The following is a 25,305-nucleotide window of genomic DNA, read 5'->3' as shown; positions in this document are numbered from 1 at the left end:
CATCCCCATTTTTACATAAGGAAACTGAGGCATAGGGTAGTAAAATTAACTGCCTAAGGTCACATGGCTGGCAAATGGTAAAGGCTTTAAATCCACCAGTCTCTCCTACCTTGGCCATCCCTCTACATAGGTCCTGCCCTTCCTCCAGACTTGGCTGCTTGCAGCTCTTATTCCTAGCACCTGTGTCTTTGCTCACCTGGTCCCCTCTGCCTGGCCCTACTTTAAGGTCCTTTAATGCTGTCCCCTTTAGAAAGCCTTTCCTGATTTGTCAGTAGAATAGAATTTCTCCTCTCTGAACTTGTGTGTTTTTTGGATTTGAAATAAAAGGATGTGGGCTCAAATCTTAACTCTTCTACCTGGCTGCAGGGTGTGACTGTAGGTAAATCATGTTATCACTTGGAGCCTCAGTTTCCTCATCTGAAAGAGGGGCAAAATCATGACATTTAAAAGTTGGCATACCTTGGAGTCAGCTAGTCCTAGGTTCAAATCCTGCCTTTACCTTTTACTAGCTGTGTGGCCTTAGGTGGTTTCTTTAAATGAGCCTCTGTTTCCTCACTGTTATGAGTAGAAACACTTGCCCAGTGCCCAGCACCATGATCATTCAGAAGCTGCAAAGAGTGGAGCAGGGTGATGGTACGCCTGGATTCAGTTAGATTGCCTGGGCTCAATCTAGCTCTGACCTTGGCAAAGTTACTTAACCTTTCTGTGCCTTAGTTTTTCCACCTGTAACATGGAGATGCTGGCAATTATACCTAACCCACAGTGTTATGTGGATTAAATGTGATAATACATGTAGAACTCTTAGAATAATGCCTTGCACTTAGAGCACAATAAGTATTGGTTGCTGTAGCTCAGGATTGTTTAGGGATTAATGGAAACTTTGTAAATGTCCAAGGTCTGGTCAGACACAAGGTATTGATCATTCTCCTTCCGCCTTGGATGTCAGCCATTGGTACCCAGCCTCATCACCCTCAAGGGGCAGGCATCCAGCCCCATAGTTTTTGTCTCTCCAGGGTCTTTGCCCTAAGCTCTGTGCTGGGTAGGAATTGAATCAGGTGCCAGACTTGGGAAGGTAGCCCTGCCTCAGTTTCCCTGAGAGACCCAGCTGTCACCACATTCAAAACTGAGGTGAGAGGTGAGCACTCCCCTTCTGGCCGCTGCTCCCCACTCCCTACTGACTTGGTGCTCCCTGTCAGCCCTTGCAGGAGAAGCCCAGTCAGCAACTCTGTGGATGCCTGCAGTGCGGCCCTCCTGACCCGCCTGGAGGGACGCAAGCGGAAGACCTCCCAAGACCTCTCCAGCTCTGATCTTCCATGGACCCAACCCATCTTGAGACCTGGGGACCTCCTGTGCTCTACCTGCTCCTGCCTAGGGGCTTTTCTGGGGAACACCTTTGCCGAAACAGCGGCTTTGCTGGGGCAGTGGGAGGAGCGGCAGTTGCAGGAGAGTGTTTTCTTCCCCTTCTTCTGCAGTTTGCATTTACTTTTCCAACAGGTCAGTGAGCCATGGAGCTAATTCAAAGAATTGTCGAGGCAGCAGCAGCAGCAGCAGCTGTGAGCTCCGCGCAGCCAATCAGTCAGCCATCAGGGCGCTAACCAGGGGAGGCAGCGCAGGGCCACTCATCTCCCAGGCTGTAGGGAGGGCGGCGCCAAGTGAAGCCGCAGCGCCCAGCTCAGCCTTCAGCTCTGGGCGGTGGTGGTGGCTGTGGCTGTGGCTGAGCCCCTTAGTGCTACAGGGAGCAGCTCAGGAGGCAACCAGCTCACACAGCACCTGTCGTGAAAATAGGCACTCCTGGGTTCAATTTCAACTTGCCAGTCACTAGCTGGGAGACCCTGGGCAAGGTCTTTAACCTCTCAGAACCTCAACGTCCTCATCTGTAAAACAGGCACAGTCGGTGCCAAAGGCACAACTTACAAAGGCTCTTGGAAGGACTTTAAAAGATTAGAATGGAAAGCACCTAGTCAATGTTTGGGCCTCAGCAAGTACTCCCTACACCTATAATTCTAATTAAGAGATATAGCAAATATTCCCCTGTCCATAGTGGTACAGCTGGGGCCTTAATTTGGACTTAATTTGTCAATCTGGGTAGATAATGAAGACATTCATTGCAGGATTATTCCTTGTTTTCACAGACGTTTTGAGGTAGTTACACACATGACCCTACTGTGTGACATGCTGAAATGGAAGTGAGGAGAGGGGCTATGACAACTTGAATAGGGCATAGACCCTCACTGAAGGAGCTTGCAATCTGGTTGGGGAGGCAGAGGCAGGAACCTTGAGGATTAACCAAGAAACCAAGGGAGCAGAGGCTGTGAAGTGGCAGAGGGAACAGAAGCTGGCTCTGCGGGGGTCTCAGGGCGGCTTCCAAGGGGTGACACATGCAGGTCTGGGGTGGGTAGAGGGTGACGTCTGCCCAGGATTCATGGTGCAGACCACAGAGGGCCTTGAGTACCAAGGCTGTTACTCTCCCAGCAGGAGTGCTTCATGCGCCAGCCTCACACTAGCAGGTAGGGTGCCAGCTCGATGCTTATCGCATCATGAGGAGAAAATGTGCTGTTTTTGCAAAACGTGCTAGTCTCTAACCGACACAGACAGGCTGGATGAGGATGCTTTTCTTACTCACAGAATTCTTCATGCCACAAAAGGCTGTACAACAATTTCATTCAAAGAACAAGTCTCCTTGGTGTCTTTTTCTCTTTTTTTTTTTTAGGAAATATACTTGAAATGCAAGATGTAGCAGACCTCCGCATTGAGCTCCTGGACATAGGCTCTCTTTCTGTTTTTTTTTAAGTTAAATTGTGACAAAATACACATAAATAAATTTTACCATCTTACCTTCTTAACCTTTTTTTTTTTTTTTTTTTACCTTTTTGATACAGGGTCTGGCTCTGTTGCCCAAGTTAAAGTGCAGTGGCACAGTCACAGCTCACTGCTGCCTCAACCTCCTGGGTAAAGGGATCCTCCTTCCTCAGCCCCCGGAGTAGCTGGGACTACAGGCACCACACCACCACACCTGGGTAACTTTTGTATGTTTTCTAGAGATGGGGTTTCGCCATGTCCGCCAGGCTGGTCTCGAACTCCTAGACTCAAGCAATCCTGCCACCTCAGTCTCCCAAAGTGCTGGGATTATGGGCGTGAGCCACCACACCCAGCCTTAACCATTTGTAAGTGCACACCTCAGTAGTGTTAAATATATTCACACGGTTGTGTAACCAATCTCCAGAATTTTTTCATCTTGCGCAACTGAAACTCTACTCATCTAACAGCTCCCCACTTCCTCTTCCCTCCAAACCCTGGCAACCACCATTCTATTTTCTGTCTCTATGAGTTAAACTACTCTACGTGCCCTCTTCTAAGTGGAATCATATGGCATTTGCCTTTTTTGTGACTGGCTTATTCACTTAGCGTATCATTTTCAAGTTTCATCCATGTGTCAAAATTTATTTTCTTTTTGCAGCTGAATAATATTCCATTGTACGTATCTACCACGTTTTGTTTATCCCATTATCTGCTGATGGACAGTTGAGTTGCTTCCACCTTTTGGCTATTGCAGATCCCGATGCAATGAACATGAGTATACAAATACCTGTTCAAGTCCCTGCATTCAGTTTTTCTGGGTGTATACCCAGAAGTGGAATTGCTGATTTGTATGGTAATCTGTTTTTAATTTATTTGAGGAACCACCAGATTATTTCTGGCCATAGACTCTTAGACAAGAGAGGAGCTTCAAAAGCCCCATACCCTCGCTTATGGACAGGAAAGTGGGGGCCACGTGATGAGCTCTTCATCTGCCTCTCGTGTGAGGTGGTGGCCCAGCCAAGGCCATTCTGTTTAGGGTTCTTAGTGCATGCCTCTGGCACCTTTGAAGATGGCCAATGGGAACACCAAACTGAGGTGTGATGATTCTGCTTGCGATAAATGGGGTAGACGGGGACACAGGAGCACAGAGAGGCAGAGCCTCCTGAAGGTCACACAGCTGGCCACACACAGCCTAGTGTGCTCCAGCTCCTCAAGGCTCCGGGAACCCCTTCCAAGGTGAGCTTTAGTTCAGGAGGCAGAGCCTTCCCGTCTGCGTCTGCAAAGCCCCAGCAGGCTGACAGGGGATGCCATAGGCCTCAATTTGCCCTGCTGTACAACTGAAGGAGGCAGATGGTCTCTAGGGGCTGTTGCAGCTTTGCTCTTCCCCAACTGAGGAAGTCTCAGTTCCTGGGGCATGTTACCAGCCTCCTCTGGTGGAGAAACCAACAGCCCTTCATTTGGACCATGGCTTCCCAAACTCCAGGATTATCTCTGATTTATAGGCAGGTAAACTGAGGCCTTGGGCATAAGGAGCACTGCTGAGAGGGTGGCTGAGAACCCAGGCATCCAGACTCCCCTTCTCTCTCCCTCATTACCATGACTGGAAGAATATGAGATGCCTTAGCCCGTGCCGATCTGGTGCCATTTGCTCCTAGGAACCTCCCCCAGGGGGTCAACATTGCTGGGTACTGGCCCTCTAGCTCTGGAGGAGGCCCTGTGCCCTTAGAGTCAGCCTGCCACCCATGAACCTATTAAGGGTGCATGAGGGTCGACATGTGAGTAAGACCCAAAGGTGGCCGGGCCTATAATAAACCTCCCCATTAGCCACCCCTCCCACTCTGCCTGGCAGGCACTGTGGAAGCATTAGGTGTGGCCAATATCACTTATTTATTACTGAGCACTTAGGGAGCTGTTCCAGGCTCCCACCCAGCATGCCCTCCTTCTTCTTCCCTTGTCTCCTTACCCAGGATGCAGCTCAGCCAGTCTGGCCTTGAGCTGCCCAAGCCACCTAGAGGGTGAGCTCAGAGGGCAGTCCTGTCAGAGCCCCACTGCAGCACGGGGCTGGGATTAGCATGATTACCCCACCATTCCAGGGACGCAGACTGCCTTTCAGAGTGGGTGAGAGTCTTGCTCAAGGGCACACAGCTGGTGAGTGGCAGAGCCAGGACTTGATCCTTGTCAAGTTTACCAAATGACTAATGACCTGCTGAGTCCCTGTGCAGCCTCCCAGCCTCCGGGAGCCGTGCTGGGGAGCAGGCTGGAGGATTTGGTGTGGTCCTACTTTGGAAGCCAGCGTCGCACATGAATGATGGAGACTGCAGGTCTGGTCTGGGATTCTGGAACGGGCTCTGCTCATTGCTGGCTGTGTGGCCTTGGACCAAGCACTTAACTTCTCTGAGCTGAGCTGCTGCTGCTGCTGCATCTTTATACTTGGAATCACAACCATGCTCACGACCCTGCCTTGTGAGGCTGTGAGCCCCATGCCATGATAGTGTGGGCCTGTGGAGCCCTTACTGTTGGTAGTTACTGTTTTTCTGTTATCATTAGAGCATGGGGACTTTCAGTGGAAAACAGAAACCAAAGGGCTAGAACCTTGTGAAGGAAGGCCTGACCCCTACTCCGTGGATTCCAGAAAAGTCTGGCTCCTCCCACCTCCTGCCCCAGGAGCCCTGCCGGGGGGAACAGTCATCCAGCCCTTCTCTCCCATCTATCTTATTTTCATTGAGGTCAGAGCCAGAGGAACCTGAGGGACCTTCTTGTGTAGCCCCACACCCCCAGGTCCAGAGGTCCAGAGAGAGAACGGGGCTGGTGCAGGGTCACACAGCAATCACTGGGGGGAAAGCAGGTCTCTGCCGGCCAGTTTTATGCCTCTTGCCTGTGCTGCTGACAATGGGGGCATGAAGCCATGGCTCTGTGGAGAACTTGCAGACATTTCAGCGTCCTCCCTGAGCAAACGCTTATATCAGGGGTCACTGGCAGAGTTCCCTCTCCCAGGAGATCCGGCGAAGTGAAGTGGGTGAGACGACAGCAGGGAGGGATGAAAGATGTTTCTGGGGTCCCAGAGAGTTGGCAGGCTCCAGGGATGGGAAGTAGGGTGAACGGAGTACTATTCACCACCACGTGCTCAGGAAAGGACTCAGTGCTGTGCCAGGATTGTGGGGTTCAGGTTGTGGCAAAGCAATTATTCCAACCATCTGGTAGCATTTGAGGTTTTACCCCAACCCAGCTCATGCTTTCCATTTGCTAGTTGAGAAAACTGAGGTTAAATGGTTCTCGAGAGCACACTGCTTTGATTATGCTTGGAACTCAGCTAGAGTCCACCCTTTTCCAGTCCCATGTTACCCCCGCCTGTACTTTCAGCAGACCCATGACCAGGATGCAGGTTTGGTTTGGCTCTGGCCGCCATCTGGTCCCTGCCACTCTCCCAGGTAGGGGCTGTGACTGTGCTTTCTCCAGTTTCCTCTTGCCCTCTGGGCTCTGGTCAGAGCCTGGCCACACTGGACATGCCAGGCTGGCCCCTGGTGAGTGGTGACGTCCCACTTAGCACATTGTCATGCCACCCCCGGGCTGCATCAGCAGCTGCCTGGCTGAATAATTCATCAGACCTTGTTTACTCTTCCCTTCCTGGCTGTTAGTGGCTCTCAAAACCCCACCACAGCCCCCTCCCAGGTCCAGCTGCCCTGGCCTCCACCCTGCTCTCCAATTTAGCCACCAGAAAGCTGCTCCACGACTGGGCCATGCGCATTGGCCATGAATTATTCAGGCCTCATTTGGCTGGAGCCAGGGTAGATATTGGGGCTGGAGGAGAGTTTGGGCCATGCGGTCTGTGCCATTTGGAGGGCACGTGGAGGAAGCATGTGGAACACAGAGTTGTCTCTGTCTTCATCTCCATTCAAGCTGACACCCACGTCCTGTTGGATCCAGAGTGATCTGCCCATTGTGAGCCCAGGGGAGCAGAGGATGCCTCGGGGTGAGAGCTCCCCAACCTTCAAGCGCAGAGACCTGCACAGAGCATACCATCGGTGCTCAGGACAGCGGGCTGATTGGCAGGCTGGCCTACATCAATCAACAAGAGGATGACACATTTCATATAAGGGGCAGAGGACAAAACTCTGGAGTCAGACAGCTTAGGTGTAAATCCTGACCCTTCTACTTTACAGCTGACTAAGCTTGGGCAAGTTACTTAATCTTCCTGTGCTGAAGGTTCTTCACCTGTAAGATGGGGAGAGCGATGGCTTCTGCCTCACAGGGCTGCTGTGCACAGAGCAATGGAGATCAGACGTCTACAGTGCTGGGGTGGAATGAGTGCTCAACCTCCAGACCACACTGGATTGTCATTGCTTGGTTGGTTGTTTGCCTTTCTCATCATCCTGGGAGATTTTTAAAGAAGGTACTGGATCACATTTTACTAGGTACCTCCAAGAACTAGTACTGAGGTGGCTCCTAGTAGATGCTTGGTAAATGCTTGTTGAATGAATGAATAAATGAATGAGTGAGGAATTGCTCTCCAGAGATGCAATGGGCTGATTTATGAGGCAGTGAGTAAGCTGCTTATTGCTGGGAGTGTTCTACTGGATCACAATTCACACGGAATTCTGTAGCAAGGATTGATGTTCTGGCTAGAAAGATGGTCTTTAAAGCCTCCTCCCCCATCATTAGCTGCTGTGGTTCCAGGATTCAATGAATAAATATGGGTTGTAGGAGTTGGTGGTGGTGGTAGTGGATGATGATGACAATGATGGAAACAAGGCTGATGATAAAGAGGCTAAGTCCTAGGACTTGAGGCTGGGGAGGCAGAGAGGAGAAACAGCTGATTCATCAGACTAGCCCATCAGACATTGTGCTTAAGGACAAGGAATTATGGCTTTTTCCTCTGTATTCCGGGTGCCTGGCACATAGTAAGCACAAAATAGCAGTGCACTGAACGAATGAGTGTTCCTTAGTCCTTAGATAATCAGGCAATCTGAGGACCTACCCCTTCCCAACCCAGTACACAAATTCTTCAGCCCACCCTGAGCCATCTTCTGTGGCCTTTCTGCCTCGTCCTTTGCCTCAGTTTCTCCAGTCATAAAAATGGGTCACATTAGTTGCTTCCCTTTCCCTAGTAACATTATCCAAACTGGCTATTTCTGGCAACACTGCAAGAAGAGGGCAGGCGGGGCAGGCCTGCCTGGTGGGACCTCTGACCATCAGGCTTCTGGGAACCATAGGCTATACCCACACCACAGAGCATCGATAAACTATTTTGATGTTTCTCTTGCTTTCAGAAAGACAGCTTCCAAGATTCAAGCCCAGGTGGTGCCGGTCTTTTTTTGGAGGTGCTAATTAATAATTTAACTTCATCTAATGATAATTTTATCTTGTTGCAGTTTGTGGATTTATGATTATCTCATCCATCCGGTGCCTAGTGTTGGGCATAGAGTGTGTCTCTGCTGTCTGCCAGAATCTGCTACTGGGAGAATTTCCCCACTGGGAGAGGGACCCAGGAAATGGCATGGTCTTAGAAGGTCTCCTGAACACATTTCCTTGGGAGGGCTCCTGTTATCTTCAAGGTTGATGGCTTTCTGCAATCTCTCAAGGGCTGTTTTGCCTGGAAACAGGACGATGGAGACAGAGACCTATCAGCTGTGGGCATCTCAATATCAGCGGAAATGGGTATCAAGAAGTCTCAGCCAGGTGCAGTGGCTTGCGCCTGTAATCCCAACACTTTGGGAGGCTGAGGTAGGTAGATCACTCGAGCCCAGGAGTTTGAGATCAGCCTGGGCAAGAGGTGACACCCTGTCTCTACAAAAAATACAAAAATTAGACAGGCGTGGTGGTGTGTGCCTATAGTTTGAGTTACACAGGAGGCTGAGGTGGGAGGATTGCTTGAGCCCAGGAGGTCAACGCTGCAGTGAGCTGTGTCCATACCACTGCACCCCAGCCTGGGTAACAGAGAGAAACCCTGTCTTGAAAAAAAAAAAAAAGAAGAAAGAAAGAAAGAGAGAAAGAAAGAGAGAAAGAAAGAAAGAAAGAAAGAAAGAAAGAAAGAAAGAAAGAAAGAAAGAAAGAAAGAAAGGGAAAGAAAGCCAGCCAGCCCCATGTCACAGACTGTCATAGCAGGAAGACCCCCAAGAGAATGTCACATCTGGCGCCTCTTTCCATGGTCAAAGAAGCTGAGGGACTAGCTCAGGAAGGAACTAGCTGAGGTTCTATGGCAGCAGTCACAAAATCTGTTTTGAACCCAGGTCCCCTCCTTCCAGCTATGCCCTGCTGTTGTCCAATATACACCTCTCTGCACCAGCTGACCAACCTTCCTTCCCTGGGCACTTGGCGAGAAGTGGCCCAGGTACATTTTGAATGGAGGTGGGGTGGGCACTTAGGTCCTCTCCTCCTATGTTTGGTGACTACAGCTCCCTAACTGCCTTTCCTTCTGGCAGGGAAGAGTCAATAAGCCCAAAGAGGATGGGTGGGCATGGCTGAAAATCCCTCCTGAATGTATGCAAAAACTTTTCACAGCCTCATGTTCTTTCTATCAGGTGAGTGATATTGTACCCATGCTGTCCAGAAATGGGGTGACCTAGTTAGAGTCAACTGACTTCGAAAGGCAGCAAAACTACGACCAGATATTAAAGGAGCAGTAGGATTTAGCTGAAGAAATGGGGGAAGAACATTCTAGACAGAGAAACTATAAGGAGAAATGCTCCAGACTTAAAACTGTAGGATATGACCACTTAGGTGAGACCCTTGGCCTCTAGGGACTTCAGTTTATTCTCTTACCATACTAGGAGAGTGCTTGGGGAGGAGGCTAGAGGCAGTGTCTGCACCCAGGCTGAATGTTGGGTTCTGCGTGGCCACTTCTGACCGCTGGACTGGACGAGGGAGCAAGGTGAGACTGCTAAACTCCTCCCCTCTGTCCACCTGGGTTCTTGGTTTCCCCTCCCTCCACACAAAGCTGGGCTGTTGACCGGGCCCCAGGTTGGCCTCAGCCCATGCTAATGAGATGCTAATGCTGAAAACCAGACTGACTGCAGCCTCCAAGTGTTTGGGGACCCTCTTGACAGCTGGAAAAGCCCTCCAGCTACTCTGGGCAACTTCAGCTCTAAGCTGGGATGTTCCCCCAGCAATTGCGCCTGTCACTTCTCATTACACCTGATGCCCGTGGTACCTGCCAGGGAGCCGTGGGGCAGAACTAGCCACATTCTCTCTCAGAGACCGCAGGGAGGCTGGAGCCTGGTCTGACAGGGTCCCTGGGGACTCAGGAGGTTTCACCAGTATGAGGATCAAGTCTTGCCCATTCGGGATCCCCTTGGCTGCAGTTTGTAGTGCAAGATCTCACAAAGACCCCTTAGGCTCAGAACAACATGGTGACCTTTGTTTTGACTTCTCCAACCCAGGGCCTATGACAGTTTGTGTTCAGATGAATCTGCATTGTGACACAATGGATGCTTAGAATTCAAGAACCCTAGGAGGTCAGAACTGAACAAGTCTTAATTATTGGAGAATGCAGGGCATTTTTATCATTAGTTTTTTGTTTGCCTTAAAAATTGCCCAAATAAGATATGTGAAAAACAAAAAAATTTTTTAATGCCAAAAGACTTAAAATAAAAAAGCACTATCTTTCCCCCCAACCTTCCTACTGCTACTCTTGCTCTCCTGGGACAACACATTTTTAGCCCTTTCAGCTGCTTCTTTTGCTCTGTGTGTTCATATTTCTAAATAATATGCATATTCTGCTATTTCTGCTTTGTCAGTTTTAGACATCCTCTATTGACTTCCTGCTATAGTAAACACAGATTTTGCTTTGTTACTCACCTTTCTGTCCCCTTCCTCCTTATATAGTCCTATTGCAACTTTTAGTCAAACCAAGAACATTATTATAAATGTATAAATGAGGCTCACTCTAGAGTTAAGCAATGGGCTCTGATTATATTTTCTTTCCCATACATTTCCCCCTTCAGTGTGGCGAATACGGGTAGTGCCTATTGAATATCTACCTGTTCCCCTATATTCCTCAGCTTCCCTTCTAGTTAGGTTAGGGCCATGTGACTAGAATGATCTTTTTGAGTTGAGGCAGCTAAGAGCCCGTGTGGCTCTTCCATCTTTCTCTTCCCTAGCAAGGAGCTTGTACATGTTGTGGGCTCCATGCTGTACAAACACAAAATGAAGGACTGCCTCCTTATTAGATTGTGATACAAAGGGAAATAAACATTTATATCTATTGCGACATCTAGCATCAACTATCCTGATAAATATACCCAGAGGTAATAATTGCTCCATATTTTCAGTTGCATCGTTTTCTTAAATGTTTCCAAATGTTGCATTATATCTGCCATACCATTATTATTAAGATTATTTTCATAAGTTTTGTCTTACATCATAGCATCTATCAGTCTCTCCTCTTTCCCTGGAGTCTTCCCTCCTGGGGCTCTGGATTTCTTCTTTCAACCTGGCCTGTTACTCTTTATGCCTGCTGCGAAGCTCACGTCCTGGGAATTTCCTCTGCTACTCTCCCGTGTTGAATCCCCTGGATTCTATATTCTTGGTTTACTTCTAATTTTTGCTGAAACATATCCTCTGGTACTCTGCAAAGTAAATTCTCTGAATCCTTACACATCTAGAACATATTTAAAGTCTCAACTTATGTTTTAATCATGTGTTTAGCTATAGAGTTCTATATTGAGAATAGTTTGCCCCAAGAATTTAGAAGGCAGGGTTTCACTGTTGCCCAGTATCCAGCGTTGCACTCAACAAGTCCTACAACCATCTGATTCATAGTCCTTTGTATGAAACCTGTTACTTTCCCTTCTAGAAGCTTTTAGAATCATATCTGTGTCTATATGTTCTGAAAATTTACAATAATCTGTTTTGAAGAGGATTTACCTTGTTTTGACCACTTGGTAGGCCCTTTAATCTGAAGGTTCATATTTTTTAGTGCTAGGAAACTGCCTTGAATTATTTCTTTGATAATTCCCTTTGTTGTATTTTCTCCATTAATTGGGGACCAGTTCCTGGATTGTTACTCGCATAAGTTAACCATGGCTACAATAATGCTATATAACAAACCAACCCCAAACTCAGTGGCTTAAGACATGGTTACTTATACTCACAGATCTGTGGTTGCCTGAGGGACACTAATTTATGCTGAACTTGTTTGACTGGCATTGCTAGAGTTGACTGGGCTTACCTACACATCTGTGAGCAGAGTAGGAGATGGCTGATTTAGGGTAGTGTTGGCTGGCGGACTTTAACTCTGCTCCAAACGTCTCACACCTTCCTCGTGGGACCAGTGAGCTAGCCCAGGGATGTTCTTCTCATGGAGAAGGCATGGAAACTACTGTTGCTGCCATACACTGCCACTTCAATAAAAGCTGCTGTCTAAACCATCGACTCACCCTTGAATTATTTCCTGGGTGAAGCCAAGAACTCTTCCGGTCTAAGTCCCAATTTGGGGGCTCACTTGCCCTACATCAGTCTAGAGGCAGAGTGCATAGGCATGGAGCTCAGTTCTATGGCTAACTGTACTTGGGCTTGGCTTCTTTCTTCTTCAAAGTACTCATCTGTAAAATGGGAACAAAATAGAAACCTACTTCACAGACTTGTTGGGAGGATGAGAAAAGTTACTATATGGAAAATGCCTGGAAGCATCCCCAGCGCACATCTAAAATATCTCTTCTCAAATACATGAGTGGTTCTGAAAAGCTCATTGGAAGTTTTGTGTTTAGCAGTGAAACTTGTGGAAAGGATAGGGTAGAGTGCTGGCTGGGGAGCCTGCACCTGCCATTGAAGAGCATACTGGCATTTTAAGCTCCCCTCCAACCCCTGCTTATCACAATTTCTCCCCCACTATAAATGGCAGTGAAGAGTTCTATGATTTAGGAGGGCCCGAGGCTCCCACTGATTTCTGTTCAGACTTCCACTTCATCCTCATTTGCAGCTCCAGGTGTCATTCTCACCTCCCTGCACCTGGTGTCTTCAAGGCCTGAGCCCCTGCAGAGTTTGCTATCATTTTAGGGGCTTCTAGGGAGAAAGGAGATAAAGCCATCTTTAACTAGAAGTCAAAGCTGCATTTTCAAACTGTTTTAGCTGCAGAACCTCCAGGTCAAAGGAAACTTTCTGTGACAGCCAACGTGTAAAGCCAAGGAAAGCAGAGCTACCCAGCTGGAGAGGATGAGGCCTAGAGACCCCCGCTTGCTACCCCTCAACCCTCACCAGCTTCTCCCTGAGACACTGGCTGCCAGAACTCAGTGTGAAAACCACTTAGACACAACAATCCCTGCCCTCATTTTACAAATGATGAAGCCCAGGTTAAGAGAGGAAAAAATATGGAATTTGGCCTTTGACCCCCAGTTCAAAGCTCTCTTTTTCACACTTTGTTGCTTCTGAATAAAGGATGTATGGTGGCTGATTTCTATTTGCCAGTGCTCAAAAAGTTAAGGATAATCCCCCCCGGCCCCTCAGCAAACTCCTTCTGGGTCCACTGTCTCTGATTCTATCTTGACATTCTATTTTCATCCCTGCTACTTCCAGGGATAATCACAACAGGTACATAATTGTTATCTGTTGGGTAAAGTAGCTCTATGTTTTATTTGCCATAAAAAGTTATCTTCCCATCGTTTGGCCCCTGTCAGCCCCTGTGACCTAAGCTCCCTCTAGTCCCCTTCAGAATTCCAGTGCCCCGCTCAGCAGGGCCACTGACTGCACCCCCACACATTCCAGGTCATAGATTCTAATGACAGCCAGGGTGGAGAACACGCCCATTCTTCCATTTCTCTGTCTCTCTAGGGCAAAATTCTGTCTTCTTTTCAGCATAAATGTTACCTTTACAAAGTCTTGCCTTGAGTATGTTACTTCATCTCTGGAGCCTCATTTATTCATCTGTAAAATGAGCAGAATGGGGCCTGCCTTACTGGGTTTTGGGGAAGACTAAATATGCTAATGTATGAGTTGGCACAGTGCTAGGCACCTGCAAAAAATGACTCAGTAAATGTTAGCTATTATTATTGTGTGTCCATCCATTGTAAAACGTCCCATTCTGTCTTTTGGTGTATGTCTAATTTCTCCACTAGTTGGATGGGTATTAGTCTCGACTGTGCATTAGAATCACCGGATGGGATAGGGAGGGGGGATTTTAATGAACATGGATGCCTGAGCCCCATTCCAGATCAAATGACTATGAATCCCAGGGGATAGGGCCCAGCTGTTTTAAAAGCTTTCCAGGCCATGGATTCTGACTGCTAACCAGGATGGAGAATGCTGAGCTAGACCATGAGTTGCCTGAGAGCAAAAGTCAGGCAATGCCCATTTTTGTATCATACATAGCACCTTGTATCTAGCATCCTGTAACTGCGGAATGAATGAATACATGAGCAAGTATTAGACACAAAGCAAAAATTAGAATGAGAAGGTCTTTGTGGGTATGGGTTTTTGTATTGAGGGTAACTGGGATCAGACCTGGCTGGCTGGAATGTTATTAGGAGCCTAGCAGGGAGTTCTTGGAGGGCTGTGTGTGCCTGAGAGTGGGGCTCTGCACCCTAGTCTGGGGAGTCATATCTCTAGGTAGCCTGTGACTTACAAAGTGCTTTTACAGACCTAATAGAGATCACATGAATAGGCACTATTCTTACTCTTACTCTTTGGACAGATGAGGAAAGTGGCCAGAGTCATTATGAGTTGCCCAAGGTCTCCCAGACAGAGGGCTGCAGAGCCAGGCACGGACCTGTGTCTCTGGACACCTGGTCCCATGCTTGGTCAGTCTCTTTGGAGTGAGGCTCACAGCTGCCCCTCCTGGATTCTAGGAGTAAAGTCACGCAGAAGGGAGGCAGGGAAGTGAGGGGCCTCTCTCTGAGAAGTTGGCTTCCAGACTCCAGTTCCTTGGAAAAATGTGGAAGAAATCTTGGGTGCAGTTGCTGTATGTGTGTGTGCATGTGCTATTGTGTGCCCCTGCATGTGTGACCATGCTTGTGAACTTCTTGCTGCTTGTGTGTGGCGCGTGTGGCTGAGCATGTGTGCCTGCCATGGTACTGTGTGTTGCTGTTTGCCAATCTATGTGATTCATGTCTGTTGTTGCTATGTTGCATGTGCATGTTGTGTGTGTGCTGTGTTTAGAAGCCTCCTGAGCTCCTCAAAGCCTACTCCTCCAGCCAGGAGGCCCATGGCCTGGCTGGGAGTCCAAGGACTGTAGTGGCTGTCCCTCTTCAGGAAAGAACCCAGAGGAGAATGACCTTTCTCTCCAGGCCTGGGTCCCGCTCCTCTCTCTGTCCAGCACCCTGCACTTTCCCTCTCCCTGGCCCCCACTGCCCTCACCATGACAGCTTCTTACCAGAGCAAAAGTAGGCAAAGTGCAAAGAGGCTGCCCATGGCTTTCCCAGCCCCATGCCCCGCCTCACTGCCTTGCTCCTGCTGAGCTTTCCCGTCTGCCAGGCTTGGCTTCTGCAGGAAATTTCCCTGGGCACCTTTACTCCCAACTGTGTGTTAATTACTTAGTCTCCAGCCTCCCCATCCACCTCAGAATGGAGGGACAGGGTCACCTTGCTACATAACTTTACCCCTGTTTGAATGATAGTAATAAGAGGCAGCCAGGGGCCAGGGGAGCAGGTTGACAGGGTGCCTAGGCCAAGACTACGGCCACCACAAGGAAGACACTGAGTATGAGGAGCTGAAATACACAAATCTGGCCCTCATGCCCCACTCCTGTCCTCCCTCCTCGAATCTAAATGCACTCATCTCAGGGATTGGAGGTATTTGAAGGGAGATGACTTACCTGGTTGCCCAGATACCTGTAGGTGATGTGCCAAGCCTGTTTCAGTCCAGGGGAAGAGTCCTTTTCAGGAGACAGCATGAGGTGAGGGGTGGTAGCCCAGAGGGGTGTAGACTCACCTGCTTGGAGACAGGAGAATGGCTTAGGTAGGCCAAGCTCCTTCCTCATTTTACTCTCATTAGTGACATCACACTAGCCCCTCTTCTGGCCCCTCCCATGAGTGAGACGATCTTCTTTTCCCCAATTCCTACTCCTCCACCCGTACATCCCTGTGGCTTTCCTCTTAAGTTCATGGGTCTAATGGTTTCTTACAGCTTCCTGGAAACCCTTTCACTGTTATGAGAGTAGACTGAGGCTCAAGACCAGAATTCTTTCTTTCAAGGGCACAAGAGTCTTAAATTCTAGTCCCAGACCCTGTGATCCTGAGACTGGGTGACCTGGGTACATCATTGCTGTCCCTCTGTATTTTGGTTTCTTTACCAATAAAAGAATCAAAGACTTTACAGGCAGCTCCATGCTCTGCCACAGGGCATCACAGTGGGATTCCAGAGTGCTCTGTGCATGGATCCAGGCCCCTGGGCCATCCAGCCACACAGTCAAGGAAGTTCTTCCAAGGGAGGTCCTGGTAGTGATGGAGGACCATGGTCGGGGTAGTAAGTGCTTCCTGACCTTCCTCTTCAAGGACGAGCCAGATGGCCAGTGATTAGAGCATTGGATTAACAGACACAGGACTTACTAGGAGTGGGGAGACCTGCCCAGGCCAGGGCAGGGTCCACTAGACTGTGAGTTCCTGAGGGCATGTCTGGTTCATCTCTCTAGTTCTTCATATTCTGTCTCCTTGGAGCTGATGCTCAGGGAATGTTTGTTAAAGAAATGGATAATTGAATGGAGAAGAGAAGATCAAGTTTGTGAGATAAAAAACTAAGGAAAGAAGAGATCTTGGAATGCTGGACCAAGTGGAAGAAAAAAGAGGAATTAGAAGGAGATGACAAGATAGATTAAGGCTGTGTTGTGCTATGGTGACAAACAAGTCCCAGATCTCAGTAGCTGAAAACAGCAAAGGTTTATTTCTCATTCATGCTACATGTCTACGTGGGTTGGCAGGGAAACTGCTCATTTTAGTCACTGAAGCATGTAAGTTGATTGAGCATTGAACATTGCCAGTCACTGTGTTAGAGAGAAGAGGGTTTCACTCTAGCCATTAGCCCAGAAGTAATATTTTCATTCGTACTCCATTGGCCAGAACTAGTCACATGGATACTTTTATTTACAATTCATGGGCCAGAACTAGTCACAGAGTTACTTTTGCTCACAATCTATTGGCTATAACTAGTCACATGATTACTGTTGCTTACAATCATTTTGCCAGAACTAGTCACATGATACCTCCAATAAAAAGAAGATGAGGAAAAGCAATCCTACCATATGCCTAGAAGACAGAAATGGAAATGCTTGATAAATAGCATTAATGAGTAATTGAAGAATTAGCCATGGAGAGCTGGAAGGGGGGGTGTGCAGCTGATATTCCAGATCTTCACCCACCCACATGCTAGGGTTCCGAGCCTATGGGTTGTGCTTTATTAAGATCTTAAAGTCATAAACTGGCCCTAGAAGTTAATGGGGTAAGGCAAGCTGCACATGAATTGAGTACCAACTATGTGCAAGATTATTATGACCACTGGAAATATAAGATGGATACAGCCCCTACCCTGATGGAGCCAACAATTAGATAAGAAATACATTAAAGTATGAAATAGCATGAGGATCTGATATCCTAGATTCCTGTTGGAAATGGACCAGCTGAGGAAAGAGGAGACAGTATGGCTTGTAGCTACACTTAGTGGTTGCTATATTTTTTCCTATTGTCTCAAAGATTTAGATTGCCCATAAGTAGTCACAGACCAGTACAATTACACGGCTTCTAGTTCCTGCCTCTACCTCTGTCCACACCTCTCCAAGATTAGGAGCCTTTGTAAATGAAGATACTCCCGAGAGAGAAGCAAAGACTCACTTCAAAGTCTTAAAAGCACTTAATGTTGTCCCAGTAAGCTATGTGCTCTTATTAATGGGACTGCTTCCTTCTGATTACATTTTTATGGACATTTTCCTGGTGACATTGTGCTAGCCTTGTTCTGAGCTCCCCAATCCAACTGATAAAAGGCCAAAATGAAAGACAGAGAGGGAGAAAGACAGAGAGAGAGGAAGGAAGAAAGGGAGGGTGGGTGGGGAGGAGGGAGGGAAGGAAGGAAGACTAGGCTTTCATTTCAGCAAGATAGGTTTCCTTTCCAATCATGTGGAGGAAAATTCCTCCCTCACTGATATGGTTTGGCTGTGTCCTCACCCAAATCTCATCTTGAATTGTAATCCCTATAATCCCCACATATCACAGGAGGGATCCGGTGGGAGGTAATTGAATTATGGGGGAGGTTTCTCCCATGCTGTTCTCGTGATAGTGAGTGAGTTCTCACGAGATCTGATGGCCTTAAAAGCATCTGGCATTTCCCCTTCTGGCACCCATTCTGTCTCCTGCTGACCTGTGAAGAGATGCCTTCTGCCATGATTGTAAGTTTCCTGAGGCCTCTGCAGCCATGCAGAACCGTGAGTCAATTAAAACTCTCTTCTTTATGAATTATCCAGTCTCAGGTATTTCTTCATAGCAGCATGAGAAGACTAATACCATCACCAAATTTTGGCTTTGTGCAATTTGGCTTGAATTAGGGAAATCAAAGGACTTATAGTAGTAATACTTGAGTGAATACCAAATTTACCAGTGTCAGAAGAAGAGAAGAGGACAAATTACACATATATGCTCACTTAGGAGCTACAACTTCACTAAAGAACTGTAACTGTCAATGGTTGGATCCTTTTGTGGCTTCTTTTTGCCATCAGAATAAAATCTAAATTTCTGAGCTTGGATTAAAAGACCTTTATGATATCACTCTGTCTTTTCCTCTAGCTTCCCCTCCCCTTTGACACCTACCTGCACTCCACACTCTAGTTCTAGGCTGCCTACCTTACACTTACCCAAACGTGGTTCATGTCTCAGTGCCTTTGAATTTACTGCTTCCTCTACCTGGAGTGCTCTCCCAGTCACCTACTTGGAAAATTCTCCTCATCCTTGTATCTGTGGATCAAGCATCTTTGGTCTCCTTTAAGCCACTACTCTCTTGTACAAGCTTCTATTACAGTTCTTATCACACCGACTGACAATTGTTTCCATGCATGTCTCTCCAGTTAAGCTGTGGAATTCTTGAGGGCAGTGATTGTTTCTTATTCCTTTTTATTTTTCTGTTGTGCTTATTATAAGGCTTAGCATACAGCAAGGGTTCAGTATATGTAATAAAATGAGTGAATAAATGAATGAGTTGGGAGGAATCTAAAGGGTTACCTAGTGTAAACTCCCTCTCAAAACAATAATTTTTACCTCTAGCAGGGGTCAACAAATTATGGCTTGTGGGCCAAATCTGACCAGATGCCTGCTTATAGGAAGAAAGTTTTATTGGAACACAGCCACATCCATGTGTCTATTGTTTACAGCTGCTTTTGCACTACAGCAACAGAGTTGAGTAGTTGGGATCCTATGGCCCTCAAAACCATTTCTGATCTTGCCTTTTACCTACCACTGTTTTATAGCATTGGCTTTTAATCTTTCTTGGACCAGAGACCCCTTTGAGACTTTGATAAAGGCTTCGAGATTGAATATATGAACACACACAGAATATGTTGTATTCAATTTCATGAGGATAAGTGACTCCTTGAAGCCCATTCATCAATCCCCTAGGGATTCGCAGACACCAGGTTAAAAATTCTGTTGCCCAAGGCTAGTGAGGCTAGAGCTGAGAAAGTGATGGAAGTGTGGTCCAGAGGTAGCTGGGGGAAGTGAAGAGGCCTAATAGTCATATCTCTTAAAAATAAAAAAATTTAAAAATAAAGCATTGCCCTGAAGGATTCCTGACACCTTTAATGTGGTATCTCAGTCCCAAGGAACTCACAACTATGCTTGATGTTGCTTGGTTGAGGAAAGCGCAATTTGCGGGGAAAGCCTGTCTTCACACTCACCTGAACTCTGTATCCTTACAATTTGAACCTATTGGTCCTCCCGGATGTTGAGGCTGTGGCCCAAAGGGCACAAACCCGTCTCCACAGCCAGTGTGGAGAGGCAAGGAAAAACCAGAAGGCAGGAGAGAACATGCCTACCCTCACCTTCCAAAGGAGAGGCACAAAGGGGAGAGGGAAAGGAAGGGAGCTTGGGACCATTACAGTTGCTCATATCCAGCTTTGCTTTCTTAAAAACAAGGGCGGGTAGAGAATGTGTGCATCGGAGAGCTAATGAAGTCATGAGCAATAGGAGGCGTTAGGCCTCTGGGAAGCAAATTGTGGACCAAATGAGCTCATGTTTTAGCAGAATTATTAACTTAGCAGATGAAGGGAACATATTAGACATTATGAATCTTGCTTTTAGCAGAGCCCTTGATAGAGGGTTGTGCAGATGCTTGCTAAATTCATTCCATTAGGGTTGGAGGGAAGCTGGCATCACCGGGATCCCCAGTGGAAGCCAGCACTCCTGGAAGGGACAAGGGGGTGATGTCAAATGTATATCTGGGCCAGGCATTGTCTGGGGGCTTTATTCAATACCACAACACTCAGCAATGAAGAGGCTATTGTTCCAGTTGCAGAAGAGAAGATGAACTCAGAGGGGTAAAGTACCTCATCTCAGGTCGCACGGGGTCAGCAACTAGGCTCATGGTTGGAGTCGGGTCTGCCTTAGTCCAAACCCAGTGCTCTTTCCCTGAGGGGAAGAAATACCTCCCTGCTGGGATCTCATGGGAACTACTTAGAAATGGAGCAAAGCGCTAGACTGGAACAAGAGGGATAGGTGAGGTAAGATCTGGGGTCAGGCAGAGCGGGTTGAGACCTTCAGGTAGGGCTTAGTGAAGGCATAGGAAGGGAGCTGGGTCTCCAGGGGCAAGGCTGATTCTAAATTCTGCATTTCAGGAAGGTGCAGCCAATGGGAAGGTGCTCAGAAAAGGGGGAGTGAATGGAATCCACATCCTATGGGGAATGGTTGTGTGAACATACAGGACTGTCTCTTGCCAAAATATTTAGAGTTCTGTCCTGGAGGGTGCTGGAGATTGCTGTGGCCTAAGAGGGTTGAATGGGTCATCCAGTGCCTCACAAGGGGGCTAAGAGAGCTTTGCTGGGAGGTGCTCAGTATTGTAGGGAGTGAGCTAACCTTCCCTGAAGATATTCGTGGAGCAGGCGTGGAATGGGAGGAGAGCCTGACCATAAAGCCACTCCCTATGCTACAATTTTTTACCTTCTGAAGTCAGGCATGAGAAAGAATGTTCTAATAAGAAAGCTTTCCAGAGCGGCCTACAGATGTTTGGGAGTAGGGCAGGAGAATCTGTATTTATCTCTGAGATTTAGTGACCGACTATATGCTTGCATACGAAACGGATGGACTCAATGGCCCCTAGAGACTCCCCTAGCCTGAGGACTGCTTGCATGCAGTGGGTGACTGACAGACCTTCCTGAATTCTCTTGGCATGGTGTGGGAAGTTTGGGAGCTTCACTTCCAGGGAACTTTCTCTAGCAGTGAGCTCCAGACCCACCATAAACAGGAGAAAAGAGAGAAGGCGACAGGGGAGGTGACTGAGAAAGGACAATGGTCCAACCTAGCTGCCTACAAACCTTTTCTGAGGTTGTACCATGTGCCAGAATCTCAGACAGACAGGAAATGAGCTACGGGAAGCCTGTAGTGCAGCAGGTAAGGTGAGGCATGGTCACCACTTTCTCAGACAGGCTGGACATAGCCACAGGACCCAAAAGAGGACAGACGAGGCCATGGACTTGTTCAGAGCCATGAGAGATCACCTCTCTCTAGGGCATGTCTGAGTGTATCCCTGAAGCAGTGGTCTTCATAATCCTGCAGTGGATTTGGCCATAGGGAGCTAGAGGAAGAGCACCAGAGGCATGGTGAGAGGTGAGTGGTGGGGAATAGTGGGGATATACAGGAAGGTGGAGGGGCCAGATTTCACAGGGCTCTGCATGCCAGGCTGGGTTCCGACGCTGGAGCCAGTAGGTGCCCTTGAATGTCCTCTTTCCATATAGGAAAGCAAGAGTTCCATGCCAGAGAAGAGCAAGATCAGGATCATGTTTCAGGAGCATGAATGTGACTCCCATGTGGAGGTTGGAATGGAGTGCATGAGACTGGAGCCAGGAGGCCAGGGAAGGGTTTCTTGCAGAAATGCAGGGATATTGGCAGCCTCTGTCTGACAGCTTAAAGAAGCTGATTAGGAGCAAAATATTCTCCATGCGTGTATGTGTGTACACACCTCCAAGTGAATGTGCATTTCTCCAAGTGTACACTTTTGGGTGCAAACATGTTTGTATGTGTCTGCTTGTGAATGTGCTTCAGGGCGTGTGATGTCTAGCTTGCTGTGAAGTGGCATGGACGCCTGCCCCAGGAATTGTGAGACTAGTTCTGCACATGTGAGTGTGTATGTGTGTGGGAGTAAGTGTGTGCCATCCCCGGCTCTCCAGGGAGCCCAAATCCTGCTCTCAGGCTGCAGTGACAAGTCAGGCAGACAAATCTTGCCACAGCTCCCATCACCTTAATTCCATCTGTGCATCTTCTGCCACCACCCCTTATAATGGGCTAGATTCTCCACACAGGACACTGTCGATGGGCTGCCTGCATCTCATGAGGGCCTCTCCAGCCCCATACTGTCCCCACAACCATCTTCCACCCCCCTAGTTTTTGCTCTTGGATTACACAATAACTGCCTTGACTGGGAGGGGCAATGCCAGTCCTTTCTAGTTGTTCCTTCAGCAGAGAGATGTGAGGGTGCTGTGGGTAGGCCCCCTGGTACTGGTTGCCAGACAGAAGAGGACCTCTCTCCCTCTCCCCACCATCTCAAGGCTTACCCTACACTATTTCAGCTGGGACCCCCCAAATGCTCAGACCAGGATCAAAGCCAGAATGATCCTGCCATTTCTGACCTGAAATTACCCCTACTTTCTTGGAACACAGCCTGGAGGAGAGGGGGTGAGAGGCCTTTGTCAGCAGAGTGAGGGTCCCAAACCACAGCCCGGCCCTGCCTTTGACCCACTAGGTGACCTGTGTTAGATCCTATTTTAGCTTTAGCTTTTTTTAATGTGTAGTTTGGGGCCAGGCTGTTTTGTCTGGAGCCTGGGATTGGAGGAAGTATCGGGACTGTCATCCATTGTGCTGAAGTGTGGAGTCCTGTGGCTGGACTTCGCTGGGCAAGTCCTTCACCGAGTCCTTTATGCTGGTAAATGTTTTAACAGCTGGCTCCCTGCAAGCAGAAAGCCCCGATTTGTAGGGTTTGCCAGTTTCTCCGGTGTAAATGCTCCCACCACAACCAACTGCAATCCACTAACATGAAACCACTGAGCATGGAGATAAAAGAGATGTGCACACTCGGCCCTTGTGAGCTGGTAGGGGCCGGCTCCAGCACATCACTGCCTGTATCCTAAACACGACGACAGCCCAGCCAGAGGAAGAATCCAAGCCAAGGTCATGCAGAAAGCAAAAGGGCTAGAGTGCCTAGCACTGGGTTTGAGCCAGAGGTGAGGCTATAGGTGAAAAAAAAGAGTCAGGACGTTAGGCACTAAGAAGATTAGCAACACGTTTGGAAGTGTGGAGTGCAAAGAGGGCTAGGGCGAGTGGCTCAGGATGGAAACTGTGCTGTGCTGGGTGATGCTGCTGGAATACAATATTGCCTCTTGATGTTCTCTTCCCAGGCTTAGGGAAGGGACGAGGGCGTACATGATGATGAGGGAGCTGGGCAAATAGACAGGTGTTCCCTGAACACCAGGGATGACGTCTGAGCAGGCCAAGCCAGGAAAGGGCAAATCCAATCTCTGTAATTGTTGGTACATCAATTCTTGTGACGGTCTCATGAGGATGATGCCAAGGGCCTGGGGAGGGCGGGATGCCCTGGCTGACATCATCTGCTATTTCTGGACCAATTCATAGCCTTCTTTAGTGGGAACTTCCTTCAGAACATAAATCACCCCATCTGTCATGACTACCTCATCCTCCCGAGAAAACAGAGGGAACCCAGTACGTGGAGCCAGAAGAAGTCCGGGTGTCCTCTGGAGATGGCTTTGGGAGCAGAGAGAAGACTGTAACTTCCAAGGTCACATGCACCAGTGTTCAAATCTCACCTCTGCCCCTGGCTGGCTGAAGGGCTTTGGGTAAATCATTTTAATTCTTTGACATTCTGTTGCCTCAAATGGGCTAACCATACTTAATAATCTCTCTCATTTCCTTTAATTCCTCTCTTTTAAAGAATATGCTTCCAGTGATCAGTTTGTGGAAGCTTCCAGAAGGAGATACAGACTCTCTTTCTGGCCCCTTCCCTGGCTTTGTGATGAGGAGGCCACAGCGATGGGCATGGAGGCTGCTGCCAAAGAGGGTAGAGAGCGTGGGAGGAGGAAGGACTGAGGGTGCTCTCCTCAGTGGGGAATCTGACCCCTCTGTGATGTGACAGAAGCTGTTCTCAGACTTCTCCTTAGAACTTCTCAGCCAAGGTGGGGCTCAGAGCCCAGGAGAGCAGCCCGGGACCTCAGCACACAAAGCGAGGGCCCATTTCCCAGACAGAGGGGCCTGACCGTCTGCTGCCCATCTGCAGGTCTGCTTGACTTTCTTCCTGCTCGAGGCCTGGCTCTGTCTGTCTGCCCCAACTGTCTGTCCATCTGTCCCAGGGAAAAAAACTGTCAGGTTTGTTACCTGCCTGCTGCCTGTGTTTCTGCAGAGGCCTGCCTGACTTCCTGTCCGTCTGTCAGTCTGCAGCAATCTGCCTTCCTATTGCTTTGATTGCAGCTGACTCTCTTGCACCTGGGCTCCATTTTATGATGTGCGAGTGACAGAGAGGTGACAAATGAGAGTGAAGGAGAATGACAGATGGGAGCACACATATGGGGGATGGAACATGTGCGCATGCATAGGGCTGACAGTTGGGTTGTCCTCTTTGAGACAGGGTCACTCAAGTTCTTCCCAATCCTAGGGGGATGCCTGGAGCACCGCTCATCCCACTGCAAAGCACTGTCTGTCTGCACCCATGACCACTGACAGTGGTGTCCCTCATGGAGGCTCTGGGAGGAGTAGCAGGAGAAGGGACAGTACCCATGACAACAGATGAAGAGGCACATTTCAGCTCAGGAAGAACCTTTGTAACCATGGGGCTGTCCAACAAACAAAGTGGGGTGCTGGTGAGGTAGTGATCTCCCTGTCACGGAACTTGTTCAATTATAGGCTGGCCACCCACTTGTCAGGGCTGCTTTGGCGGGGTGTTTCCTGCCCTGGGAGAGTAAGACTGGAAAGGTTGAGATGGACTGATGTTTAAGGTGATGATTTCTGTAGATAACCCTTGTAAAGCACTTTGCACAGGGCTTGGCACATAGTAGATGCTCAAAGACAGAACTGTAATTAGGAGGGAGGTTGGACGAAGTGATCTTAAGGCCCTATCCCACAGCCTTGGAGCTGGAGAAAGAAGAAAGGCCAATTAATGGCAACAGGTTATGAATAAACAGAAGCTGGGAACGTGGGATAATAAAGGGCTTCCCAGAATAGGAATGTCTCCATCTCTCTCACCCTGATTTGCATGGCTCCTGCAGGCCTCCCTCCCCTCTCCTAACTCAATTTCAATTTCAATTTCAATGTCAATAACTTCCCTGGCACGACAAACAGCCAGGGGTTGCCAAAGTGAATCAGAACATTGAGTTTCAAAGTCTCGGAC

At 48.2% G+C, this 25,305-nt stretch overlaps 2 long non-coding RNA genes across 2 annotated transcripts; both read right to left on the bottom strand.

The window, feature by feature from the left end:
• Window positions 1-7,731: 7,731 nt before the first annotated feature.
• On the bottom strand, window positions 7,732-10,185 carry LOC105371739 (uncharacterized). The gene is made up of 3 exons (XR_934688.2): window positions 9,947-10,185; window positions 9,559-9,650; window positions 7,732-8,389 (listed from the first exon to the last, which is right to left on the bottom strand). It is a non-coding gene; the product is annotated as an uncharacterized LOC105371739 (long non-coding RNA).
• A 1,582-nt stretch (window positions 10,186-11,767) lies between these two features.
• Window positions 11,768-15,657, bottom strand: LOC105371738 (uncharacterized). The gene is made up of 4 exons (XR_934687.3): window positions 15,542-15,657; window positions 13,600-13,656; window positions 12,735-12,798; window positions 11,768-12,338 (listed from the first exon to the last, which is right to left on the bottom strand). It is a non-coding gene; the product is annotated as an uncharacterized LOC105371738 (long non-coding RNA).
• Window positions 15,658-25,305: the final 9,648 nt, after the last annotated feature.

This window comes from Homo sapiens, chromosome 17, assembly GCF_000001405.40.
Source record: "Homo sapiens chromosome 17, GRCh38.p14 Primary Assembly".
NCBI classification, from domain to species: Eukaryota; Metazoa; Chordata; class Mammalia; order Primates; family Hominidae; genus Homo; species Homo sapiens.
Note: the sequence above shows the minus strand (reverse complement) of the source record. Positions and strands in the feature narration are given on the sequence as shown.